This window comes from Homo sapiens, chromosome 7, assembly GCF_000001405.40.
Source record: "Homo sapiens chromosome 7, GRCh38.p14 Primary Assembly".
NCBI classification, from domain to species: domain Eukaryota; kingdom Metazoa; phylum Chordata; class Mammalia; order Primates; family Hominidae; genus Homo; species Homo sapiens.
In genome coordinates, this window is record NC_000007.14 from 10,555,378 (window position 1) to 10,577,691 (window position 22,314).

Here is a 22,314-nt window from a genome sequence, read left to right on the forward strand (position 1 = left end):
CTACGAGACAGACAATAAACAATTAAAAATGGAAATAGTAACTCCTTCCCTATCAGTAATTAATTTAAATCTAAATGGATAAAACTCCCCAATCAAAAGCTACAGATTGATAAATGTAAAACCAGGATTCAACTATATATTTTCTACAAGAGACTTATTTTAGATCCAAGGACACACATAGGCTGAAAGTGAAAGGATAAAAAAAGGTATTCTGTGAAAATGGTACATTACAATCAAATTGTCTGAAGTGACCAAATACCTTGAAAGACGGTAGGAATAACTATAATAATATCAGATAAAATCAGATTTTAATTTGAAAACTATTATAAGACATGAACAAGGATATTATATAATGATAAAAGGGTCAATTCACCAAGAAGATCTAACAATTATAAATATTTATGTACTAAACCAGAGCTCCTAAATATATAAAACAAACTTTGACAGAATTGAAGGAGAAATAGACAGCAACCCAATACTAATAGGAGACTTCAGTACACCACTTTCAACAATAGAAAGAACAACAACTGGAAAATCAACAAGGAAATAGGGACCTGAACAACATTATATACCAATAGAACCCAACAGATATGTACAGAATAATCCACCCAATAACAGCAAAGTATACATTCTTTTATAGTATACACAGAATATTTTCTAGGATAGACCACATGTAAGGACACAAAACAGGTCTTAACAAATACAAAAAGATTGAAATCACACAAGTATCTTTTCCAATGACAATGAAATGAAACTAGAAATCAATAGTACAAGGAAACTGGAAAATCCGCAAATACATAAGAAAATTAACACACTCTTAAACAACCAGTGAGTCAAATAAGTAACAAGAAAATTTTAAAAATACCTTGAGACAAATGAAAATAAAAACACACCAAAATTAATGGGATCCAGTAAAGAGTACTAAGGAGAAGTTTATAGTTGGAAATGTAAATGTACATGTTTAAAAAAAAATTACAGTCAATACCAATGATAAACATAGATGCAAAAATCCTCAACGAAATACTAGCAAACCATGTGTCTGCACATTAAAAGGATCATTCACCATGATCAAGAGGACTCTATTTCTAAAATGCAAGACTAGTGCAACACACATAAATTGATACATTTGATATATCGCATTAACAGAACAAAAAGGACAGAAACCATATCATCATCTCAATATATTTAGAAAAGGCATATGACAAAATTCAACGTTATTTCATGGTAAAAACTCTCAACAAAGTAGGTGCAAAAGGAACGGTCCTCAACACAATAAAGGCCATATATGACAAGCACACAGTTAAAATCTTAATGGTGAAGAGTTAAAGGCCATTCCTATGACATTGGGAACACGACAAAGATCAAGTTTAACATACTGAAATTCTTGGCCAGAACAGTTAAGCAAAAGAAAACTGAAAGGCATTCAAATAGAAAAGAAAGAAGTGAGATTGTCACAATTTGTTGATGACATAATCTTATATATAGAAAAACCTAAAGACTCCACCAACAATTGTAAGAACTAATAAACAAATTGAGGAGGCAGAGCAAGATGACTGAATAGAAGCCTACACTGTTTGTCCCCGCTGCAGGAACACCAGATTTTTTTTTTGGTTTTTTTTTTTTTTTTTGAGACGGAGTCTTACTCTGTCGCCCAGGCTGGAGTGCAATGGCGCGATCTCAGCTCACTGCAACCTCTGACTCCAGGGTTCATGCAATTCTCCTGCCCCAAACTCCCGAGTAGCTTGGATTACAGACGCACACCACCACGCCCAGCTAATTTTTTTGTATTTTTAGTAGAGACAGGGTTTCACTATGTTGGCCAGACTGGTCTAGAAATCCTGACCTTGTGATCCGCCTGCCTCGGCCTCCCAAAGTACTGGGATTACAGGCGTGAGCCACCGCACCCGGCCAGGAACACCAAATTTTAACAACTACAAACAAAAAGCACCATCACAAGAACCAAAAATCACTTGAGCAATCACAGTACCTGGTTTTAACTTCACATCACTGAAAGAGACATTGAATCACCAACTCTATCCTTCCCCAATCCCCAGGGTGAGACTGGGCACCTCAAAGAATCTGGGCACTTGGGAGAGGAAGAGCACAGCAATTGTGAGGCTTTGCATTGAACTCAGTGCTGCCCTGACATAGCAGAAAGCAGGACCAGGCTGTATTGAGCTGACGTCCGCCCACCGCGGGAGCATTTGGACTGGCCCTAGCCAGAGGGGAATCATCCACCCCAATTGCTGGAGCTTGATTTCCAGGAAGCCTTGCCACCAAGGGCTGGATTATTCTCGGGCCCTAAGTAAACTTGAAGGGCAGTCTAGGCTACAAGGACTGTAATTCCTAAACAAGTTCTAATTCTGGGCTGGGAACATAGACAGTAGACTGGGTGGTGGTAGGGGGCAGGGGAATGCATCCTAATGAGGTACCAGTCAGGATGGTTAAGGGAGTGCTTGTGCCATCCCTTCCCCATCACCCAGCAGGCACCACACAAAGTGGAGAAATCTGTTCACTTGGAAAAGGGAAAGCACAGCAACTGGGGGACTTCACATTGAACGCAATGCTGCCCTGTCGCAATAGAGACCTGACAGGATTCATTACCTGCTGACTAAAGAGCCTCTGGGCCCTGAATAGCCAACAATGATACCCAAGCAGTACACCATGGGCGATGGGCTCTGAGATGTGCTAGCTCCATATGTACCCCAACACAGCTGCAATGGCTACAGTGAAAGACTCCTTCTGTTTGAGAAAAGCGGTGGAAAAGTAAAGAAAACTCTGTCATGTACCTTAGGTACCAGTTCAGCCACAGTACGATAGAGCATCAAGCAGGCTCTTGGGTACCTGAGTCCAGGCCTAGGCTTTTGGTCACCATTTCTGGACCTGCCCTTGGCCAAAAGGGAGCCCACTGCCCTGAAGGGTGAGTCCCAGGCCTGCCAACATTCACCCTAAGATGACTGAAGAGCTCTTGGTTTTAAGTGAACACTGGCAGTGGCTTGGCAGAACCACCCATGGGTTAGTGGTGGTGGTAGCCACAAAGAGAGGCTCCGCTGGCTGTGGAAAGGGAAAGGAAGAGAGGGAAGGACTTTGTCTTGTAGTTTGAATGCCAGCTTAGCTGCAATAGAATAGAGGCCAGGTAAATTTCTACGGTTCTTGACTTCAATCCCTGGCACCCAGACAGCATCTCTGGACCCAAGCAGGACCTAGGGGAATTCACAGCCCTAAAGGGAGGGACATAAACCTGGCTGTTTGCCACCTGCTGATTGTAGAGCCCTAGGGTCTTGAGTGAACTTAAGTGGTAGCCAGGTAGTGATTTCAGCAGGCCTTGGATGAGACCCATGCTGTGCTGGCTTCAGGTCTTAACCAGTGCAGTTCCAATGTTGGTGGCCACAGGGGTGCTTGTGTCCCCCTATCCCCAGTTCCAGGAAGTTGAACATAGAGACAGAGACTCTGTTTGGGAGAAAGTAAGGGAAAAGAAGAACAGTCTCTGCCTCATAGTCCAGAGAATTCTTCCAGATCTTATCAGAGACCACCAAGGTGGTACCTCTATGAGTCTGCAAGAACCACAGTGATATTAGGGTATTGGGGCTCAAGTCCCTTTGAACACCTGGAAACCCTTTTTAGGAAAGGCAGGCACAAACAAGCCCAGACTATGAAGACTACAGTAAATGCCTAACTCTTCAATGCCCAGATGCAGACAAACAACCCTCCAGGAAAACATGACCTCAGCAATTGAACTAAATAAGGCACCAGGGACAAATCCTGGAGAAACAAAGATACATGACCTTTTAGACAGAGAATTCAAAATAGCTGTATTGAGGAAACTCAAAGAAATTCAAGATACCATAGAGAAGGAATTCAGGATTCTATCAGATAAATTTGACGAAGAGATAGAATTAATAAAAAGGAATAAAGCAGAAACTCTGGTATTGAAAAATGCAACCATCACACTGAAGAATGCATCAGAGTCTCTTAATAGCAGAATTGATCAAGCAGAATAAAGAATTAATGAGCTTGAAGACAGGCTATTTGAAAATACACAGTCAGAGGAAACAAAATGAAAAAATAATAAAAAACAATAAAACATGCCTACAAGATCTAGATAATAGCCTCAAAAAGGGCAAATCTAAGAGTTATTGGCCTTAAACAGGAGGTAGAGAGAGATGGGGTAGAAAGTTTACTCAATGGGATATCAGAAAACCTCCCAAACCTTGAGAAAGATACCAATATTCAATTACGAAAAGATTATAGAACACCAAGCAGATTTAACCCAACAAAGACCACCTCAAGGCATTTAATAATCAGACTGCTAAAGGTCAAATATAAAGAAAGGATACTAAAAGCAGAAAGAGAAGAGAAACAAATAACATACAATGGAGCTCCAATATGTCTGGCAGCAGACTATTCAGTGGAAATCTTACAGGCCAGGAAAGAGTGGCATGACATATTCAATATGCTGAAGGAAAAAAACTTTTACCCTAGAGTAGTGTATCTGATGAAAATATTCTTTAAGCATGAAGAAGAAATCAAGACCTTCTCAGAAAAACAAAAGCTGAGGGATTTCATCAACACCAAACCTGTTTTACAAGAAACGCTAAAGGGAGTTCTTCAGTCTGAAAGAAAAGGATGTTAGTGAACAATAAGAAATCATCTGAAGTTACAAAACACACTAGTAACAGCACACAGAAAAAACACAGGATATAATAAAACTGTAATTGTGGAATATTTTCATATGAATTATGCTTCTCTTACTGTACTTTTTTCTGCTTTTGTTAGATTTAGAGCTTTCTTTCTTTATTAGTCAGGGTTCTCCAGAGAAATAGAACAAATAAAGTATATATGTATGTGTGTATGTATGTGTGAGTGTATGTGTGTATAGATATATTGTATATACATATACAACATGTATATAATACATACGTGTATCTATATAATAGGATATATATACAGGATCCCCAATAGGATATGGATATATAAATATACACACATATATTTATATATACACACACACACACAAACACATAGACACATATATATGAAGATATTTACTATACAAAATTAGCTCACACAATTATGGAGGCTGAGAATCCCACAATCTGCAAGCTGGAGACCCAGGAAAGCTAGTGGTATAATTCCAGGTTGGGTCCAAAGGCCTGAGAACCAAGAAGCCTATGGTGTAAATTTCAATCCAAGTGAGGAAGTGAAGACTAATGTCCCAACTCTACAGGAAGGCAGGAGGCAAAAAGGAGAGAATTCTTCTCCTTCTCAACAAATTCAATGAAGTCCACCCACATTGGGGAGGACAATCTACTTTGCTGAGTCAACCAATTCTAATGCTAATCCCATCCAGAAACACCCTCACAGAAATACCTAGAATTAGTGTTTAATCTGGGCCCCACTAGCCCAGTCAAGCTGATATATAGAATTAACTACTTACACTTCCTTCTGAGATTGTTGACAATTGTACTTGTTGGAGTCTTCCATTCTTTTTGAGCTGAATTTCCTTAAACAAACTGTCATCTTAGTAACTGTATTTGTTTGAGAGGGTTGTCATATGAATTATCACAGACTGGGTAGCTCAGACAACTGAAATTTATTTTCTCACCATTCTGGAGGATTCAAGTTCAAGATCAAGGTATCAGCAGGTTTGGTTTTTTCCATGGCTTGCAGAGGGCTACCTTCTCATTGTGCCCTTAAATGGTCATCCCTTTGTCTGTGTGTCCTTTTCTAATGAGGATATCAGTCGTATTGGATTAGGACCCATCCTAATGACCCTGTTTTAACTTAATTTCCTTTAAAAGATTTATCACCAAATACAGTCAGTTTTTGAGGTACTAGAAGTTAGACCCTCAACATATAGGTTTGGGGGGAACATTATTCATCCCATAAAAGTAACATAGTTACATTTTCTCTTAAATTATGAAATCTGATTTGTCAAAGTCTTCATGATCATATATCTGACTAAATCTTCTCTTTATAATATGTTGTATTTCCTTACCATTATATATTGAAATGATTATTTTCCACCAAAACTTACATATATCTTGCCATGTAGCACACCAATTTCTTAAAGCAAAAATGCATTTATCTATACATTCACATACCTGCACACAGGTCAGAGGTCCTGGTACAGGCAGGTTTGTGTCCTGATGAAGCAGCCTTGTTGTCTGGGGTGGTACTTGAGGTTCATCATCTCATGTCTAGGAAATCAAGGATGTGGACACACAGAGAGTGAGGTTAGGAGTGGAAGTTTAATAGGTGAAATAAAGAGAAGAGCTCTCTGCAGCAGAGAGGGGTCCCAGAGAAATGGGTTGCCAGTTCTGTGGTGAAATACAGGAGGTTTTATAGATGAGCTTGAGAAGGCAGTGTCTAATTTATATAGGGCACAAAAGATTGGTTAGACCAGGTATACCATTTGCATAAGGCTCAAAAAACTGGTTAGGACTAGGCATGCTATTTGTACAGGGTGTGAATTTCTGGCCACCCCCACCCTAGTCTTTTATTATGCAGATGGATTATCTGCCTGGCCAGCAACATGTTGCCATTCATTTACTGTACATGTGGTAACAAAAAAAGGGAAGATGGACCCTCCACACTGGATATGCCTGGCCCCCAGGTAGCCCTTTTCTGTTGGCACAGCTGGCAGCATTTGCCCATCCAAGCTCCCAGCTTGTTTCTCTATGTTTGCAGTTCAACTTTTCAGGCTGCTCTTTGCTAGGAAAAAAATAATCTCTTGTGCTGCTTTTTGTGAGAAGAGAAGCTTTGCTGAGGACTCTTACCCTCACTATCTGCCTAAATAATTTCTGTCTACCTCCTGTATCACTGAGTCTAGAAAAGAATCTTTATCCTCCCTTTACTGAACTATCTCTAAGCCTATGTGTATCTGTGTATATGTGTGACTTCATATATATATTAATCTTATTTACTCACAGTATCTCAAAATTAGGTATAGTAAGGACTGATTCTTAATGTTACTATAGAATTAACATGTTTGAATGAAATTTTCTATTGGACAATTGTCTATTGACTAACAAAAATGTTTACTGGAATTGGTCAGTTGAGTTGGAAATCTCAGTTTGCAAGAGGTAGATAAAGAAAAAATAAGTAGAAAATGGGTACAAAATTTTAGCCTAGAGCCTATGTGGAACCCAGAGACTCACATGAAAATACAACTTAAATATTTCAATATGTTTTTAATATTAGACCATGGTATCTTAGCTCTGGGTTATAGAAATACTGCTCTTTCTTAAGTGTATATCCTCTCCTATGTGAGTTTTACCAAATTATAAATATTTTATAAAAATTAATTATATAAAAAAGGCCTAAGGTGCTTTGAGCTCCTCAGAAGAAATGCATAAAAGAAAACCAAGTAATTGTCATTATTATCATTATAATGTATTAAACATGTCAGATTACTTCAGAAAGGCCACTCAAGGGATTGGAAGGATCAGTATTAGAGTTGGCAATATATTAAATCAATTAATATTAAAAAGAGGATATAAGAATCATTGCCCCTCAGGATATTGCCTTTCATTAATAAAATTACTAAATATAAGTATTAAAGCAGTACTCCATGCATACCAACAAACTCAGAGTTCTCAGATAACAAATAAAAGACTAAATTTGCCTTCAGGCACATGTAGATTTGTCTTCACATACAATACTCCACAACACAATAGAAAGTATTCACAGCTCTAGACTTTCCATTTGACTTCTTAAATAATCCTATCAGTACCAACTGAATAATTACTAGAAATGATATAATACTACCTGAAATCAAATATATAAATTTGATAAGTATATAACTTTTTAATGTGTCTTTTTTGGTCTGAAAAAATATATAAACTGTCAAAGTCAGAAATCTAACCTTTAGCAAAATAAAACAAGTGTTTTAAATGCTTTTGGGTATACTTTTGATGCTACCCACTTCTGCACAGTCATCAGAGACACAAACTCTATGTAAAAAGATCTGTGTATTAATTTCAATGAGGCATTTTTTTTTTTTAAATAAAAGTACAGAGTTTATTTGGGCCAAGCTTGAAGATTGTAACCCAGGGGCATAGATTCAAGTTTCTCTGAATATACATTTCTATTAACAGTAGTCACCAGCAGATTTTTAAACAAAAAGAAGCAGTTTCTGAGTTGTTTACAAAGAATTTACATTAAATAACATATACTATTGATTGGCTATACATTGTTAAGCTATAGGGTTTGGGTTATAGTGCCCAGTACAGCATTATTAGGTTAATTTACAGCTACTTGTGGAAATAGCAGTTTCAAGGGATGAATACATAGTACATAGCTCAAAAGGTGTGGGGTCTGGGGGAGTAGGACTTGATTGCTATCTCATCATAAGGCCTCTCTGGGCCTGAAAATTTTAAAGGATTCACATTTCACGGATAAAGGTTTTTTTTTTTAAATGGAGTTTCGCTCACGTTGCCCAGGCTGGAGTGTGGCACAATCTCAGCTCACTGCAAATTCTGCCTCCCGGGTTCAAGCAATTCTCCTGCCTCAGCCTCCCAAGTAGCTGAGATTACAGGTACCCAACACCACATCCAGCTAATTTTTGTATTTTTAGTAGAGACAGGGTTACACCATGTTGGCCAGGTTGGTCTCAAACTCCTGACCTCAGGTGATCCACCCGCCTCAGCCTCTCAAATTGCTGGGATTACAGGCATGAGCCACCGCACCCAGCCTTAAAAGTTGTTTTTTGTTTGTTTGTTTTTTCTCACATCGGACTTGGTGTTAATTCCATCATCCAGCTTTAACACATTTCTATCAAAATCAAATGAGAAATTGAGACTTATTTTTAAATGGAGCCCTCTCTACAAGATTCATTTCTCTTTCCTTTCCTTGCCAGTGAGACATTTCTGTGGCCTAAAGAAGTAGGATGAATCAGGATCCAAATATGTTTACCGGCCCAATGTATGCAAAAACTTCAGCCAATTAAAATGTACTTGTAAATTCAAATATCTGAATTACTATAAATCTTGGACATGGCTAGATTATTATGTGTCAATAAAAATTTCAATTTGTTGTGGAGACTTCTAAATTATTACTCTTATGAAATGTGTGCATAAATGTTACAGTTCACTTTAAATATTACAACCAAACAAAAGCAATTCATTGCAGGTAGATTTACCTTAAAAGAAATACTAAAGGAAGTTCTTCAGGCTGAAAGCAAGTTACCCCAGCTAGTAATTTAAATCCATAAGACCAAAGAAAACTACTGGTAAAAGTAATTAGGAACAAAAATAAAAGTATACATGCTTAAGTTTCTTTCTTCTTATCACTGATTTAAAAAGCAATGGTATAAAATAACTACGTATACAACATAATGTCGGACTTATAACTTAAAGAATTGTAATATATGTGTAATATATTTACCAACATCAGCACAAAGGAGATGTGTGGTAGCGAAGGTATATTAAGCTATGGAACTAATTAAATATAACAAAATAATAATGATAATGTGTCATTTGGTTTGCAATATTAATTGGTATAAATGTATAGCAGTTATGCCACAAAAAAGGGGGATAAGAGAATATAGCCTTATAGGGGTAATATTTCTATATCTATATACCACTGGAATTAAGCTAGTACATACCAAAAGATGATTCTGATAAATTAAGATGTATATGGCAAGCCCGAGAATAACCGCTAAAATAAAAATATCAAAAAATATAGTGAAAAAAATCATTAAAGAAATTAAAATGCCAGATAAAAAACATTTACTTAATGAAAAAGAAGAGCAGATCAACAAAAAAGGCATGAGACATATAGAAATGAAAAGTAAAAGGGTAGATGTAAATACAACTACAATAATAATAAACAACATTAAGTATGAATACATTACACAACTCAATAAAAACGCAGGGGTTGTAAGACTACAAAAAAAAAAAATGACCCAACTATATTCTGTCTATAGGAAACACATTCTAGATTTAATGACATAAGTAAATTAAAAGAATGAATAAAGAAATATCATGCAAATTCAACCACAAGCAAGCTGGAAATGAATTGTGATACTAATATCAGACAAAATAGAGTTGAGAACAATAAGTGGTACTAGAGATAAACAGGGACATTTTATAATCAAAAGTTTCAGTCCTTCAGGAAGATATAGCCATTATAAGTATATACGCATCAAATAATGAAGCATCAAAATACATGAAGCAAAAACTTACAGAAATAAAAGGAGAAATGAAACTCAACAACAATAGTTGGAGACCTCACTACCTGACTTTCAAGAACAGACGGAATAACTAGACAGAAAATCAACAAGGAAATTAAAGACTTACTACTATAAATCAACTAGACCTAACAAGCATCTAGAGAACACCCCATCCGACAACAATAATATATACACTCATCTCAAAAGCACATGGACAATTCTCTAGGATAGGCCATATGATAAGCCATAAAACAAATCTCAACAAATAGAAAAGGATAGATATAATACAAAGTATATGTCTTGACCACCAAAGAATGAAATTAGAAAAAATGGAGGAAACTTACAAATATGTGAACAGCACACTCCTAAATAACCAATAGGTCAAAGAAGAAACCAAAAGAAAGTTCAGAAAATACTTTCAGATGAATAAAAATGAAGACATAATATACCAAAATTTATGGATTGCAGGTAAAGCAACATTTAGAGGAAAATTTAAAGCTATTAAGATGAAAGAGTGATCTCAAATCAATAACCCAACCTACCACCTTAGGATACTAAAAAAAAGGCGGGTGGGGGAGTAGGGACTGAACCTAAAGCAAGCAGAAGCAAAAAATAACAAAAATTAGAGCAGAAATTAATGAAATAGAAAATAGAAAAACATATCAATGAAACTGAAAGCTGTTTCTCTGAATAGATCAAGAAAATTGACATTTAGCTAGATTGACCAAAATGTTTTTAAAAAGAGAGATGACTTTGGAAAATAGTCTGTCAGTTTCTAAAACACACATATAGTAACCAGACGATCCAGCAATTCCACTCTAGGAATATACCCAAGAGAAATAAAAATATGTCCTACACAAAAATTGTACATTGAATCTATAAATTATCTCGGACATAGATTCAATGCCATCCCCATCAAGCTACCAATGACTTTCTTCACAGAATTGGAAAAAACTACTTTAAAGTTCATATGGAATCAAAAAAGAGCACGCATCGCCAAGTCAATCCTAAGCCAAAAGAACAAAGCTGGAGGCATCATGCCACCTGATTTCAAACTATACTACAAGGCTACAGTAACCAAAACAGCATGCTACTGGTACCAAAACAGAGATATAGATGAATGGAACAGAACAGAGCCCTCAGAAATAACGCCGCATGTCTACAACTATCTGCTCTTTGACAAACCTGAGAAAAACAAGCAATGGGGAAAGGATTCCCTATTTAATAAATGGTGCTGGGAAAATTGGCTAGCCATATGTAGAAAGCTGAAACTGGATCCCTTCCTTACACTGTATACAAAAATTAATTCAAGATGGATTAAAGTCTTAAACGTTAGACCTAAAACCATAAAAACCCTAGAAGAAAACCTAGGCATTACCATTCAGGACATAGGCATGGGCAAGGACTTCATGTCTAAAACACCAAAAGCAATGGCAACAGAAGCCAAAATTGACAAATGGGATCTAATTAAACTAAAGAGCTTCTGCACAGCAAAAGAAACTACCATCAGAGTGAACAGGCAACCTACAGAATGGGAGAAAATTTTCGCAACCTACTCATCTGACAAAGGGCTAATATCCAGAATCTACAATGAACTCAAACAAATTTACAAGAAAAAAACAAACAACCCCATCAAAAAGTGGGCGAAGGACATGAACAGACACTTCTCAAAAGAAGACATTTATGCAGCCAAAAAACACATGAAAAAATGCTCACCATCACTGGCCATTAGAGAAATGCAAATGAAAACCACAATGAGATACCATCTCACACCAGTTAGAATGGCGATCATTAAAAAGTCAGGAAACAACAGGTGCTGGAGAGGATGTGGAGAAATAGGAACACTTTTACACTGTTGGTGGGACTGTAAACTAGTTCAACCATTGCAGAAGTCAGTGTGGCGATTCCTCAGGGATCCAGAACTAGAAATACCATTCTACCCAGCCATCCCATTACTGGGTATATACCCAAAGGATTATAAATCATGCTGCTATAAAGACACATGCACACGTATGTTTATTGCGGCACTATTCACAATAGCAAAGACTTGGAACCAAGCCAAATGTCCAACAATGATAGACTGGATTAAGAAAATGTGGCACATATACACCATGGAATACTATGCAGCCATAAAAAATGAAGAGTTCATGTCCTTTGTAGGGACATGGATGAAATTGGAAACCATCATTCTCAGTAAACTATCGCAAGGACAAAAAACCAAACACTGCATGTTCTCACTCCTAGGTGGGAATTGAACAATGAGAACACATGGACACAGGAAGGGGAACATCACACTCTGGGGACTGTTGTGGGGTGGGGGGAGGGGGGGAGGGATAGCATTGGAAGATATACCAATGACGAGTTAATGGGTGCAGCACACCAGCATGGCACATGTATACATATGTAATAACCTGCACATTGTGCACATGTACCCTAAAACTTAAAGTATAATAATAATAAAATAAAATAAAATAATTGTACATAAATTCTCATAGCAGAATTATTCATAATAACTAAAAGATGGAAACAATCCAAATGCTCGTCAACAGAGAAATAATGAACAAAACATGGCATATTCATACAATGGAATATTATTCAGCTATAAAAAATAAAGTACTGATAACATGGCACAATATGAACAGACTTTCAAATCATTAGGCTAAGTAAAGAAGCAAGTCACGGCCGCGCACGGTGGCTCACGCCTGTAATCCCAGCACTTTGGGAGGCCGAGGCGGGCGGATCACGAGGTCAGGAGATTGACACCATCCTGGCTAACACGGTGAAACCCTGTCTCTACTAAAAATACAAAAAAATTAGCCAGGCACGGTGGCGGGCACCTGTAGTCCCAGCTACCCGGGAGGCTGAGGCAGGAGAATGGCGTGAATCCGGGAGGCGGCGCTTGCAGTGAGCTAAGATAGCGCCACTGCACTCCAGCCTGGGCGAAAAGAGCGAGACTCCGTCTCAAAAAAAAAAAAGAAGCAAGTCACAAAATGTCACATATTATGTGATTCCATTTATATAAAATTCAGAATAAAGAAATCTATAGAGGCAGAAAGTAGATTAGTGGTTGCTTGCAACTAGGGGCTGGGGTAGAGTGTGGAGGAATAGAAGGGTGATAAGTAAAGAATACAGGACTTCATTCTGAGGTGATGAAAGTGTTCTAAAATTGTAGCGATGATTGCACATATTTGTGAATATACTAAAAACAACTGAACTATATACTTTAAACAGGCAAATTTTTTGGCATGTGAATTATATCTCAATAAAGTTGTTTTCAAAAAACTACAAGTATATGAAGGACTTGGATCTACCTGACAAAGCAAAGATATGCTTTACGGTATTTGTAGTTTGCTACAAGATCCTGTTTCAGAATAAACCTTTAGAATTTCTCTTTCACAAATATGTTGCTGCCAATCACCCATTCTGTTTCTCCTGAAATGTGTATCATTAGTGAAATGTTCAACAAATATTTATTCCATTTTTATCAGGTGCCAACTGCTATCCTAGGCCCCAGCAAAACAGCAGTGAATACACAGACAAGGTCATTGCCCTTTTGACATTTACATTCTAGTGGAAGGAGACAGATAAAACATAGTAAACACAAAACAAGGTCATTTCAGATTGTCATGATTACTATAAATGAAATAACAAGGGCCATGTGATAAAGAGTGATTAAAGAGGGGAAAAGTACTTTAATGGATGGTTGGGGAAAGATTCTCCAAGGTGATATTTTTAAAGAGTGATTAAAGAGGGGAAAATACTTTAATGGATGGCTGGGGAAAGATTCTCCAAGGTGATATTTTAGAGGCAGCAGCCATATGAAGAACTTGGCGGGCACCAGACTTCTAGGTTTAGAGAAGAGTGGCTGCAAAGGCCTAAAGACCAAGCAAATGCTCTGCACGCTCAAGAAACAAACTGGAGGTCTGTGTGACAGCAATGGGGAGAGCAGAAAAAAGTGAGTTTAGAGAACTGGGGCAGAGACCAGATTTACGGGGCTACAGGGGCATGACTAAGAGTTGGGAGAGCGATAAGAACCATTGAATGGTTGTAGACAATAAGGTGACTCTAATGTATATTTCTATAGAGAATGAGTGGTCGGAGGTAAGACAATTTTGGAAACAGTGCCCCAGGAGGCCCGCTCTGAAACACATGACTGCATTAAAAATACCACATGTCAGGCATCATTCTAGGCATTTTATTCATGTGTTCTCATTTAAGTCTTCAACAAATCCACAAAGTTGGCAGCATTACTTCATTTTATGGATTAGAAAATTAAAGTTCAGAAAAGTTGCCCAGATTACACAGGTAATTAGCAGCATTTTGTTAACCAAACCAAAATGCACTATTATGGTTATGATCCAACACTGATTTTTCATATGGCTTTGTAAATAAGTATCAGAGATAAATTATAAAATACATTCATATTTCAGGGATGCAAATTTCCAATATCACTTTAATAATTAAATATTAGATAGAAGACTTTTCCTTAATCTTAAAAAAGTTTTGATACAAACTAGCATGCACAGATATGCCATTCCTCCTTAACTACTCACCCAAAGTTGGAGACAGAATATCAAGGAACTGTACCCTGCAGGTACACAGCTGCACTCCTGTCTAGCTCAGACACACTCACGAACACATTGTTCAGAAAGCCTGTACTTCCACTACTACAAATTTGTTTATTTAGTCTTATTTCTATCTCTTTCGCTCTCTCCTCACTCTCAACTTAAGTTACCCTAGAACAGAACTTGAAAATTGCATTTATTTCCAACTTTTGCCTGGATCTTCAGCTGAAAAATAGCCACAGGAAAGTTAAGCCCTGGACATTTATTCTCTATATGCTTCTGCAGTTTATGCATGTGGATTTTCTATGGTCTCAATGCTTTCAAGCTGTATTTTATAATCACAAGCTACAAATTTCACCCTTGTCAGTGCTACACCTGCAGGAAACACCCTGGTAGAACACAGTAGTCCTCCTTTACATGAGGGAGACACTTTCCAAGACCCCCAGTGGATGCCTAAAACTCTAAATGTACTGCTTTCTCCTGTACATACATACCTATAGTGAAGTTTAATTCATAAATAAGGCATAGTAAGAGATAAACAACAATAACTAATGAAAGAATAGAACAAGTAAAACAATATGCCAGCATCACCACTCTTGTATTTTGGGGATATTATTAAATAAAATAAAGGCTACTTAAGACAAGCATTGCAATCCCATGACAGTGAATCTGGTAAGGGAGACAACTGCTAAGTTACTAATAGTACAGTTTGGGTAGACAGCGTGGATATGCTGGGCAAAGGGAGGATCCATATCCAGGGCAGTACAGAGGAAGACAGATAAGATTTCATTATGGTACTCAGAATGGCAAGCAATTTAAAGTTGATGAATTGCTTATTTCAGAAATTTTATATTTAATATTTTTAGGCCATGGTTGACCACAGATAACTGAAACCACAGAAAGTGAAATTGCATATAAGGGGACACTACTACTGTTCATCACTCTTCTCTCAGGATAGAGCAAGCCAACGATGCTTTTGGAAAATCTACATAGTGTAGGGCATTTGAAATTCTTGTTTCTCATGAGGGAACAGCTAACAAGTAAATTGACAGTTTTTAGTTTATTTGGATAAATGATTCTACCATAAATACTGTTTTAAGTAACCTTTTTGGCTTTTGTCTTACATGTCCATAGGTGGTATTTGGTATTTGAGTTCCACAAGATATAAAAACAAGGCAAGATTATTACATAATAGAGTTGCTTTGCAATGTTCATATTAAGACCAAGACTAGTATCATTCTATAAACAAACTGTGACCAAAGGAAGATTTTTCACTGCCCCTCAGACATGACTTTTTTCATATATAATAATGCCCACTGCCATGATATTATGAAACTTTTTTATTGCAGAATAAAATATGGAATCAAATGCTAATGCACAGGTATAGGTAATAGGTAACAGACATGAGTAACAGACAAGACTTTCACTTGTCAGTAATGACATAACTTTTCTAAAATTATTAGATTTGTATATTTATTTTATAGGTTCAAAGTGGTTTTGCATGTGGCATTTTGACCCTCACAATGTGAAATAAAATCAAGAATAAAGCAAAATAAAGTATCCCTTTACCAATAATATTTTCATTTTTATGGTGAAACAGAGCTAAAAGTCATCTGTGTCATGCATTAGATGAAGAAAAATAATGGCTTTTCTTCCAATATTCAAGAGGGTCATCAAGATCATATGCTTAACATTTAGGTAGTATAGATTTATGCCTGACCTAGGCTATTATAAATGTATGAACTTTTTTAAAAAAAAAGCAATTTCTATTTGCAGTTAATCAAATGAGTTATTTCTTTAAGATAGTATCCTAGCAACTTCAGACAAAAGAGGAAGTCCCTGCTGATGTTGGAAAGCGATTTGTTTATCACATATCCAGATCTAACTTCTGAATGTGCTTCAAAGTGTTGCTTTGATAAAATAAAATAAAAAAACTATCAAAACTTTTCTTATAGAACTAGCAAGGTTGTAAGAATCTTCATTTCACAATTTCTGATTTTGAGGTTCTCACAGAGAACAGTGACTGTCATTGAAATAAACAGGTTTCTTGAAGGAATATTTTAATAAAACTGCATCTCTCTAATAAATCTAAGAAGGTTACCAGTAACCAAATCGTTAATTTAAAATTTTCAAATCTTGGCCAAGCACGGTGGCTCATGCATGTAATCCCAGCACTTTGAGTGGCCGAGGTAGGCAGATCACTTGAAGTCAGGAGTTCAAGACCAGTCTGGCCAACATGGTGAAACCCCGTCACTACTAAAAATATAAAATTAATAAAAATACAGGCAGTTACCTGTAATCTCAGCTACTTGGCAGGAGAAAAGCTTAAACCTAGAAGGTGGAGGTTGCAGTGAGTAAGATGGCAGCACTGCATTCCAGACTGGGCGACAGAGGGAGACTCCATCTCAAAAAAAAAAAAAAATTCAAATCGTATTGGGTTGACAATTGAATAACTAGAATTAAAACATGTTTTAATTCTTAAAACAAACCTTACCTACCAGTTATATATCTCAGTCAGTTATATATCTCAGTTATATACCATCCAGTTATATATCTCAGTCAGTGACAGATGAAAGCAGTTTGAGACACTACTGTCACTTTCAATCCTATGGGAGCCCATGTTCATTGTTTCTAACCTCGACTCTGATTTGAAGCCAGAAATTTAAAATAATAATAATAATAATAATAATAATAATAATAATAGCAACACTAACTCCAGCTAACAAATATTGAATCCAGTTCATTCAGGATATTCCATGACTCCACAACTTTTAATGTGGAGGTGCAAGGGCCCTATTCACTGGTCAGGTTAGGTCAGAGGAAGGGGCAAGAAATCTAATGATCAAACCCAAATTTGAGTATCAATATCTCAGGAAATTATCTAACTTAGGCCATAAAATAACTCAATAAAGACTGATTTATATAAAACTTTAAATCTGGCCTTAAGGAGAATGCATCAACAAGATGCGCAAAAGAAAAAAAAAGTTTCTTCAAGTTTTATGACTTGCAAAAACATAAAATTTTATATTTTTACAATAAAGGTAGGTATTTCACATCTTGAATCTTATAACTCATAACTAATTCCTAGCAACTGAGAAAAAAACAAGAACACAAGTCTTTAATAATTTTAAAGTTTTAAGTATATATTTTCTCCCTGAATTTGACAGAAAGAAAAATCTCAAAACTATTAAATACCACTTATTGATTTTCTGACTAAAAAGAAGTAGGTTAGAACAGAAGCAATGCTGAATATCATAGATACTTGATACATAGATAATAATGTTAAGAAAGAAGATGTAAAACAATTAAATCAGGAAGAAAAATGAATCATCCACCTTTAGCTGATACCAAAAACAACAGCAATGATAATAACATCTAACCTCTATCTAATAAGTGCTGGGCACTTTACTAAATTGTTTACACACATTAGCTTACACACATTAGTTGTTCATAACAAACCTAAAAGGTAGAAATTATTATGCCCAATTTATAGATGAATAAAATGAGGCTAAGAGAGGTTATGCAACTTTCCCAGTTATCCAAAAGTGACAAAGATGGAATTCAACCACAGCCTCAATCCTGAGCCTGTGGGCTTCCGCATGACACTGCACAGCCTTCTATCAACTTTCAACCTCGCAATGTCAAATATCTCTGAATAATGTGGCATATCTCGTTCTAGGAGCCAGAAATTCTTACCTAACATTTAAAAAACAAAAGCAATGCCTTGACTCCCATGTGCCATTTCCTCATGTCAATAATTTTGATTTGGGGTGTGTTAGGTAGAATTAGTTTAGTCTCCCCATTACAGAATCCCTTGTCCCAAAATAATAATGGTTTCAGCAAGATAGATGTTTATTTTTCTTAAAGTAGAAGTTGTTCAGATGTCTAGAATTCAGAGCTGATATGGTAATTCCGAAGGAATCAGGGATGCAAGCTTAGTCTATGCTTTTTAATCTTTAGAAAATGTTTCCATTGTCAATATTGCTTCACGGTATGAGATGGCTGCTTAAGTGCTGGCCATCTAGTTTGAGTCAGGAAAAAGGAAGAGGAAGAAAAGCAAGAGGAATAACCTTTCCCAAGAGAGTCCACATGCTTTAAATAAAAAAAAAAAAAAAACTCTTCAAGATGTGGTAAGTGCAGCACATCTTTCACTCACATCTTATCTTACACTCACATCCCATAACCTCAAGGAAGGCTGAAAAATGTAGTCGTTCAGCTGGGCAGACTTCTATTAGTAAAGTATAAGGGTAAAGTATTAGATGCTATACCAACAACTAGCGGTTTCTACCACTGAAAATTAGACAATTACCAGTAAGGCTTCTTAATACCTTCTTAAGAAAGTATCTCTTAGCTAAAGCCACTAAACAAAAGATGGCATCTTTAGATTAGAAGGAACACTTATTGACTCCATAAGAAACATATAAAGGGGCATAAATCTCATAAACAGGATTCTATTGCTGATTTAATAAACGGTCTTCTAATCACTTAAAATTTAAAATTTCCTACTTCATTATGAAATGTAAATTTGATACATGTAGTAAAAAACTAATAAGAAAAATTCTAAACTACTAGGTATCACATCTGTCTAATTTATTCAATTTTATTTGGCTCTGTTCCCTGAAAGGATTTCATGAAATTATGGTAAACTCTGGTTTGATGCGCAATGCCCATAATTAACATTCCCAATCTTGGTCTCTGTATTTTCTTTATTTTCTTCTTTAGCATATGTTATCTCAGTGGCAGAACCCTCTCCTCTACCTTCATTAGCCTAAATACTTCAGAAATATATCCTCTGGAAGTGTATTTAAACTAGCTCAAGATCAATATTCCTTCTTCTCTGACACTTCATTGGGAGAAAATCATACAGTTTCTGCCTTTGCTTCCTGTTCCAAAACTTTACTACACTCTCTTTATTTTCTTTCAAGTAACCACCCATGTATTTGTCTTCCCTCCTTTATACTATCATGAATAATTGTCATATGTAATAAAATATGATAAAACAAACATTTTATGTGGCTTCAAGGTATAGAATGTGATAAAACATTTGATGTGGCTTCATGGTATAGAATGAAAGCTTAATTAACAGAAAGCAGTGATAGAGAGGCAGATTTAGCTTATGACTTTTCTAACTATGAGAGTTGCCCATAATGGGAAAGCCCACGTTGAGGGAAAGGCAATAAACACCATAAATAGTCAAGCAAAGGCTAGATGTCAACTAGCAAGGATGCTGAAAAATGAATGATTGTATTGAGTGCAGGGTCAATTGGTTCCCTTACATCCTTCCCCACTAAAATATTTTATAAAAATTTGAAGGAAATTGAGTTACACTACAACCCTTCAAATAATAGCTAATAAAATCTCATATTTTATTGGATTTTAGCCTAGCTGGTGAAATTACACTTTGCTCTCTTGCGGGAGTGCCTGTGTAAAAGATTTAATACTAATTAGACAGTAAATTTTAGATCTAGCATTAACGGAGGGAGGAGAAGCAAAGAGGATTATTAAATAGAAGTGATAATTGCACTGATTTGTACTGCTTTTAAGACAACTTAAAACTTAATGAGCTCTTCAAGTGTTTCACTATTTACATTGGTGACAAAGGATTAAATATTGAGAGAAAATGCTGAGATCTCTAAGGAAACCTCAGGAAAAAAAATCTAGCCATGACAAATCTAGTTAAGTAATACTAGAAAACAAGGTAAAGTCTTATGACTTCATTGTTCAAAACTACTGAGCAAATTAGCATAAAACTATTTTAAATTGTTCCAAGATTAAAAAAAAAAAAAAAAAAAAATTCTATTACCAATATGATCAAATAGCTTATGGTCACCCTGAGATAGGGCTTTCAAATTTCAGTATTTTTACCTTTCTACAGCCCTGGGTATAATGAAAGAATGTTTAAAACCCATTCAGAGTTAATTCAAAGTGGAATTTGAATTGAGAAAAGACGCAGAGGTCACAGCACGTGCCGCATCATACCTTTCTCTTTTGATTTCCATGTCAGTATTATGTGACTTTCATAAAAAGTAAGGCACTGTCTCATAAAATTACCTGTATTTTCATGGAGCAAGATAGAGGAGCTGAGGCTAAAGAAAATGCAGTTATGGCCCAGAACTCCTGAAAACACTGGAAAAAGACAACAACCAGCAAAGAAATTTGCTGAATTTAATTTATGAAGACAGCTGGGGGAACATGAGGTATAGGGTGATGACTCAATTTCACTTTTAAATTGGAAATAGCAATATTAACATAGTTATTAAGAGAAAAATGGCTTGCTTATATTATTGCAAAGCATTCTAGAAAATTGATATGATGTTTAATATTAAAACTGTCTATGCTTTTAAGTTTTTTGGTGATATTTTATATTCATTCATTTCTAAAATGGTTTTATCTTTACTGCATTAATTTGCTATAGAAATCTTTGAACTCATGTTTTGAAGGAAGTATGTTGCAATTATATGGGAAATAAACCAAACCAGTATAAAGTCAGTCTAGACTCACAGATAATGCAAAATGTGAAGACATCAATGAGTAGTGGGAAGACCAATAAGTTTTTAAGTTAAGGTGTGAATCCTTGTGTAACCTGTTAGTATATGAAATTACCAGGGTGGCTAATCTCTCAAAACTTCAGTTAACTGATATGGAAAGTTAAAATATAACACTAAGTCTGGCTATATATTCCCCACACCTTATATCCAACAAAATGCATAGAGCAGATACTCAATAACTGATAGTCATCTGCCCCCTTTCCTTCCACTACTGCCCTATGAAAGGATTTTAATCCTCAGCAAACACGAGACAATCAAGTGATCATTTTTGCCACAAGAAAATAATTGAAAAGCACCAAGTTTTTGTGGTTATAAGAAAAACTATGTAATAATTAATCTTTCCCAAGACACCATTAAATTACACCACTGAAGTTATTTTTCAAACAGCACAGCATATTTCTGATGGAAAAATACTGAGTAAGGAAGCAGCATGAAGAAAGCTACAATCTAGTATCTATGAGGAGAGAAGCAGCTGAACTACTGAGCAGAATCTTGAGAATCTCTGGGAGATGCTGTGAAGGAAAGAGTCAGAAGTAAAGCTAAAGACAGTGTTAGCTGAAGTGTTATATACTAAACCATTTACCACTCTGAAATCTTTCCTAATCAGAGAATAAGTGGTAGTCAGATATTAAAAAGGGGACTGGGAAATTTACTTTTTAAAGGAATCGAATTAACCGTCTAAGGGAAAGTGAAGGCAAGCAGTGTGAATGTCAATGCTCCACAGTAAACCCTACCACAATCTGGCATTTTGGCTAACCCCATGAAAATGACAAGCTCCCTTCCCAATCAATCACCCTAAAACTAAACTTGCCAGCTGACAAACTCACAAAGTTACACAGAACTCATGGATGCTTTTCTAATGGCTCATTTTAAAACACCGTTGGACAGCCGAGTGCCACCATTTACAAAAAGAAAAATTGATCCCAGAGCAAAGTAACAATTCAGGAAACAAAAGTAGTAGAAATGTGTTTACTCAGATAAACGTAAAAAGATGTTGCATCCATAAAACAAGAATTAGTAGCTATGA

The 22,314-nt window shown here is 36.2% G+C and overlaps 1 long non-coding RNA gene across 1 annotated transcript in view; it reads right to left on the minus strand.

Moving 5' to 3' along the window:
- Nucleotides 1-22,314, minus strand: part of MGC4859 (uncharacterized LOC79150) — a 330,125-nt gene that overhangs the window by 105,558 nt on the left and 202,253 nt on the right. The window contains exon 2 of the long non-coding RNA NR_147499.1: nucleotides 6,105-6,200. This is a non-coding gene — a long non-coding RNA (uncharacterized LOC79150). The remainder of the gene's footprint in view (nucleotides 1-6,104; nucleotides 6,201-22,314) is intronic.